Source organism: Homo sapiens, chromosome 10 (assembly GCF_000001405.40).
Source record: "Homo sapiens chromosome 10, GRCh38.p14 Primary Assembly".
Taxonomy (NCBI): domain Eukaryota; kingdom Metazoa; phylum Chordata; class Mammalia; order Primates; family Hominidae; genus Homo; species Homo sapiens.
This window is the reverse complement of record NC_000010.11, coordinates 80,293,408-80,299,771: the sequence shown is the minus strand read 5'-3', so window position 1 is coordinate 80,299,771 and position 6,364 is coordinate 80,293,408. Positions and strand designations below refer to the sequence as shown.

The 6,364-nt window shown below is 39.3% G+C and overlaps 1 pseudogene; it reads right to left on the bottom strand.

The window, feature by feature from the left end:
- On the bottom strand, positions 570-1,594 carry ZNF519P1 (zinc finger protein 519 pseudogene 1; annotated as a pseudogene).

The following is a 6,364-nucleotide window of genomic DNA, read 5'->3' as shown; positions in this document are numbered from 1 at the left end:
TAATATTTTTTCATGTAATCTCAAATACTGTCATTATAAAAAAGTGTACATTGATGGATAGGTATAATCATATTCAATGTCTTTACTTTTTTCAAACATACAATTACCTAATTATTTTGAGTTTGGATTATTCTCTGTAATAACCACTCTGATTTAGAGTAATGTCTCAAAGTGTTATTACTTTAGTTCTTTCTAGGGCGATTCTTCTGATTTTAATTTAGACTTTAATTTTTATTAAATACATTCCTACATTTATTGAGCCTGTAATTTCTTCCTAGCATAAACTCTGATGTTTTCTAGGGTATATATTTTGGATAAAGGTCTTTTCACATTTATTACATTTGTATGGGTTCTCTGCTATGGGAACTCTCTGTCAAGTAAGATTTATGCAACAGCTAAAGGCTTTGATAACTGCTTTATATGTGTAAAAATGTTTTTTAGCATAAATAATGTGGTGTTTTCTAAGGTATATATCTTGAGCAAATATTTTTTTCAAAATCATTACATGTATTAGATTTCTATCTAGAATTGATTTTCTAATGTTGAGTAAGGTGTGAGCACTAGTTTTGGGCATTGGCACATTCTTTATACTTGTGGGGTTTTTATCTGGGGTGAATTATCTGATACTAAGTAAGGTTTGAGTGCCTGTTAAAGGCCTTGCCACATTCTTTACATTCGAAAAGTTTCTCTCCAGTATGGAGTCTCTAATGTTGAGTAAGTTGTGAGCCCCAGTTTAAAGCTTTTCCACATTCTTTACATTTAAAAAGTCTCTCTCCAGTGTGAATTCTCTGATGTTGTATAAAGTGTGCATATTGGTTAAAGGCTTTGTGCATTCTTTATATTTGAAGGGTTTCTCTCCAGTATGGATTTTCTGATGTTGTCTAAGATGTGAGTCCCAGGTAAAAGCTTTGCCACATTATTTACATCTGAATGATTTCTCTCCAGTGTTGATTAACTTATGTCTATTTAGATGTGATGACTGACTAAAGACTATTATACATTTGTTACATCTTTGTGAGTTCTCTCCAATGTTAATTATTTGATGTTGAGAAAGTTTTAAGGACTGGCTAGAAGTTTTACCATATTCATTACAGTTGTCAGGCTTTTCTGGAATAGGATACTCTGATGAAAAATAAATTTTGAGGATCAATAAAATACTTTCCCACATTCATTACATTTATAATCATTTTCTAGAAAATGAGTACTCTGATGCTTACTAATTTTTGAGTCATGGTTAAAGTTTTTCTGATTTTCATTACAACAGATGGACTTCAAAAATTGATGTTGATATTTACTTACAGAAACATATGCTTCTGTAGAAGTAGCCAACATAAACTGAGCCTTCTTCTGTAATATTCTGTTTTTGATCTCCTTTCACAGTTAAAATTTTGTTATGAGTAGTTGTCTAATATTGGCTATGTACATTATAACGTTCTTTTTGCCCTCTACCTTCACCCACACTTTCACAATTTTTCCATAAGTGTACATTTTTAAGGCCACAGCTCCCATATCTTCCCAGTGTCACTTTTTAGAATGAATCGTCTATGCCTTGCTCAGGTGAAAGGCCTTGGTTGTAATAAGAATACATAGCCAGCCCGGTGCAGTGTCACACACCTGTAATCCCAGCACTTTGGGAGGCCGAGGCGGTGGATCACCTGAGGTCAGGAGTTCGTGACCAACCTGACTAACATGGTGAAGCCCTATCTCTACTAAATACGAAAAAATTAGCCGGGTGTGGTGGCACATGTCTGTAATCCAAGCTACTTGGGGGGCTGATACAGGAGAATTGCTTGTACCTGGGAGGTGAAGGTTGCAGTGAGCTGAGATTGTGCCATTGCGTCCCAGCCTGGGCAACAAGAGCGAAACTGCATCTCAAAAAGAAAAAAAAAAAGAATACATAGCCAGGAAGGCCAGGTTTCTATAGTTCTCTAACATCATATCTCTATACAAATTCCACTGGGGAGGGGCCAGGCATTTGCACTCTTTGGAGAGAATTCTATGGCCACGTCTCTGAATATTGAGTCCCATGTCTCAGAGTCAGGGATGTCCTGGAGTCTTAGCTATAAATCTTCCAATAACAGCAGGTCACAGAATGATGGAGGCTGTGGCAGAATCACCTAGGCCTCCCGAAACAGAGGACACATGGCAGTGAAGACCTAACCCCAAGCTCTGGCTGGAGCAAGAGGTGTGATCGTTTAAAAAATATGGCTTAAGTTATGGTATAGTGTCCTTTCATCCTGATGGCCTCTCTATTAACATGCCTTGTAGTGCATGTCTACTGGTGAAAGACTTTCTCAGTTTTTATTTATCTGGGAATATCTTAATTTTTTCTTTATTTTGGGGGGATCGTTTTGCCAGATACAGAATTCATACTTGACCGTTTCCCGCCCCCCCGGACTTTAAATATTTTATCTTACTGCCTTCTAGCCTGCATGATTTCTGAAGAAAAATTGGCTGTTAATACTTTTGACTGTAATTGTCCTGTTCTTTGACTGTTACTACTGTTATATGTGATTAGATTCTTCTCTCTTTCTGCTTTCGAGATTTTCTCTTTTCTTTGGCTTTCAGCAATTTTACTATAGTGTGTCTTGATGTGTCTTAAAATTCATCCTTCTTAGATTTTGTTGTTATTCTTGTATGTAGAGATTCGTGTCTTTCATCAAATTTGGGAAGTTTTGGCTATTATTTCTTCAAAAATTCTTTCTGCTTTCTCCCTCTCCTGTCCCTCTTGGAATCTCATTATGCATGTGTTGGTATAGTTGGTATTGTCCTACTGGTCTCGTAGGCTCTGCATATCTATCTTTTTCACTTTTTTTGTTTTTATTCCTCAGATGAAATAATCTTAATTTGCCTGTCTTCATATAATACTGATACTTTCTTCTGTCTGACCAAATCTGTTGGTGAACACCTCTAATGAAATTGCCTTTCTATTATACTTTTTATCTCCAAAATTTCTATTTGGTTCTTTTTAAAAATAATTTTTAATCACTTTATTAATATTTACTATTTGATGAGACATTGTTCCCTGATTTTCATGAGTTCTTTTCCTATGGGTTCTTTTAGACTTTTAGCATATTTAAGATAGTTCACTTAAAGTCTTTTTTTTTTTTTTTTTTTTTTTTGAGACAGGCCCTCCTTCAGTCACCCAGGCTGGAATGCAGTGGCGCCATCTTGACTTATTGCAACTCTGCCTCCTGGGCTGAAGTGATTCTCCTGCCTCAGCCTCCTAAGTAGCTGGGACTACAGGTACGAGCCACCATGCCTGGCTAATTAGGTCTTTTTCTAATATATCCAATGCCTAGGCTTTCTCAGGGAGGCTTCTACTAGTTTATTTTTTCCCCGTGAATGGCCAAACTTTCTTCTTTTTTTTTGTTTTTGCATGTCTCATAACTTTTTGTTGTTAACTGGACATTTTTAACATTATAATGTAGTGACACTGGAAATCAGATTCCCCCTGCCCCAGTATTGCTGTAGCTTATTGTGGGTTATTGATATTTGTTTTGTTATTAGTTTTCTGAACTATTTTTATAAAGTCTGCATGTTGTATGTGGTCAATAAAGTCTATGTTCCATTAGCTTAGTGGTCAGCTAGTGTTGGAGTTTCATTAAATGACTTAGGCCAATAAAAGAAAAAGATAGGAGCCACCATATCCTCCTAGTCTTTGCAGGTTGCCTCTGGGTTAGGTTACTCTTTGGTGCTTGACTGTAAGGCCATTTACAATTCTGCCTTAGCCTTGTGAAAGGAAAATAAATCTTGGGGCCCCCAAATCACTAAGCTAAAGGGGAAACTCAAGCTGGGAACTGCTTAGGGCAAATCTGCCTCCCATTCTATTCAAAGTCACCCCTCTGCTCACTGAGATAAATGCATATTTGATTGCCTCATTTGGAGAAGCTAATCAGAAACTCAAAAGAATGCAACAATTTGTCCCTTATCTACCTATGACCTGGAAGCCCCCTCCCCACTTCGAGTTGTCCCACCTTTCCTGACTGAACCAATGTACATCCAACACATATTGATTGATGTCTCATGTCTCCCTAAAATGTGAAAAAAGAAGCTGTGCCCCTACCATCTTGGACACATGTTGTCAAGACCTCCTGAGGCCGTATCATGGGCACACGTCCTCAACCTTGGCAAATTAAATTTCTAAATTAACTGAGACCTGTCTCAGATTTTTGGGGTTCACGGCCTTCACTTCCTATTTGCATAAAACCTGAAAATTCACCAGAGGTGAGTGCTTAAGGTCTTCTCAGGCCTTTTCAGAGCATGTGTCCAACCCTGGGCGTGTGCCTCATCTCCTTGATCCCCCAGCATAGATGGTAGCTTTTAAAATCCCTTATTCCCCTAGGCATCTCCTTTCCCAAGCCCTTCTTCCCTAGGTTTGGTCTGTTTATTGCTTGCCCTGAGTGTCATTCATTGCCCTAGTCTGCTGCAGCCAACACTTTTGCCTTCAAATGCTTTCAGCAAGCCACTACTTGGGAAGTTGCTCCAGTCCCAGGAATGCTGTGAGTTGGGCAAAACAAAGGCAAGCCCTTGCACCAATCCTTCAGGGAGCTACCAGACAGGCCGCTTGAAACCTACAACCACAGTTCTTTGAGAATAAGGTTCATGTTTTTCCTTGTGGCATTAGCAACCTGAACTCAGGGTATGGGTTGCCGTCTTCACAGTCATATTGCTCTGGAGAGTGGGATATGGTAGGCGGGCAATTTAAATACCATAGCACTCTTTTATGGCAATTTAGCAGCTTCTTTCTTTATTGAGCTTCTTGTAAGTTCTTGACTGGATTCCAGAGTTCTACAAAAGTTGATTTAGATAATTTTGCTTTATTCATGGATTTTGTGGAGAAATGGAGTCCTGGAATTCTCCACCATTTTCAGTAACATCACTCCTTTCTTTTCCTTTTTGTATCTCATTGCATCTTTATATATTCCTAAAATTTTAAAAATTGTTTTTATCTTTATGAATAGGCTATTACATTGCATATTATTATTTGTCCTTTTTCAAAAGCTGAATAATATATAGCCACAGTTTATCCCTGTCTTTGTATGTGATACTGTGCTTCATGTTTTTCCTGATAAAGGATATTCTGGAGTGGAAGTATTTCGGGGAGATTGATTTGGCCTTCACTATGTAAATATTGTTTGCATGCCTTAATTCAGGGTGAGTTAGCCTAAGGGATGCTCATCTTTCTTCTTTCTGTTTTTTTTTTTTTTTTTTTGAGATGGAGTCTCACTCTGTTGCTCAGGCTGGAGTGCAGTGGTGTGATCTCGGATCACCGCAACCTCCGCCTCCCCAGTTCAAGTGATTCTCCTGCCTCAGCCTCCCGAGTAGCGGGGATTATAGGTGCCCGCCACCATGCCTGGCTAATTTTTGTATTTTTAGTGGAGACGAGATTTTACCCTGTTGGCCAGGCTAGTCTCAAACTCCTGACCTCAGGTAATCAACCCGCCTTGGCCTCCCAAAGTGTTGGAATTATAGGTGTGAGCCACTGTGCCCAGCTGGGATGCTCATCTTTCTAGGTATGAATCATCAGGTAGTTTTAAAACTCCTGGTATGTGCAACATGGTGCCAACCCCCAAAGGGTATGTTGGTGTGGGAAGTTGGCCCCAGCTGATGCCTGACTCAAATGTGAGATGATAAGGATGGGTGCAGAGGTGACTATCTGTGAACACAGAAATGGAGGGGAGAATTCCAAGGCACTTTTGAAAAAGAATTAACAGACTATGGAAACTTGGATATGATGATAGACAATCAGGAATTGAAACCGCCTCCCAGGATTTCAAGCCTCTAAAGTCGGGGGACGAAGTGATTCTACTAAGAAAAACAATACAGTTTTGAAAAATGACAATGCACAGCTGGATTTCATTATATTGCATGAACATCTTAGGGTCTGTTCTTCATTAGGTTATTCCTCAATCAAGGCAAGAGTCTTAACTCTTCTCTCTGATTTTGGAGTCTTCCTTCTCAAATCTAACTTGCACTCTACACTGTCAGAATGAAACCCATTTCACTGCTTTTCTAGAGGACTACTTACTGCTTAGAGTGCCTGGCTTCTCAGCCATTACCTCCCTGCCCAGTTATCTGCTCCCACCCTCCCCAGGTGGGGTTGGGGCAATGTTCTTCTGCACTAACTTCACCAGCTGTGGCTGGGGAAGTTTTCCCTTCCAGACCCTCTCTGTCTTCCTGTTGCCTTTCTAAGTTCTGTAATTCCTTTGGGCCCTAGCTTGAGTCCTGCTTTTTGCATTAAGTCTTTCAACATGTCTTTCTTCCTTTTCAGAATAGGAGTTGTATATGGGTGTGTAGGGGTGGAAAGGTGTTATGCTTTCCTTACCCATCATAAGGGTCACAGCTGATGCTCTTATAACAA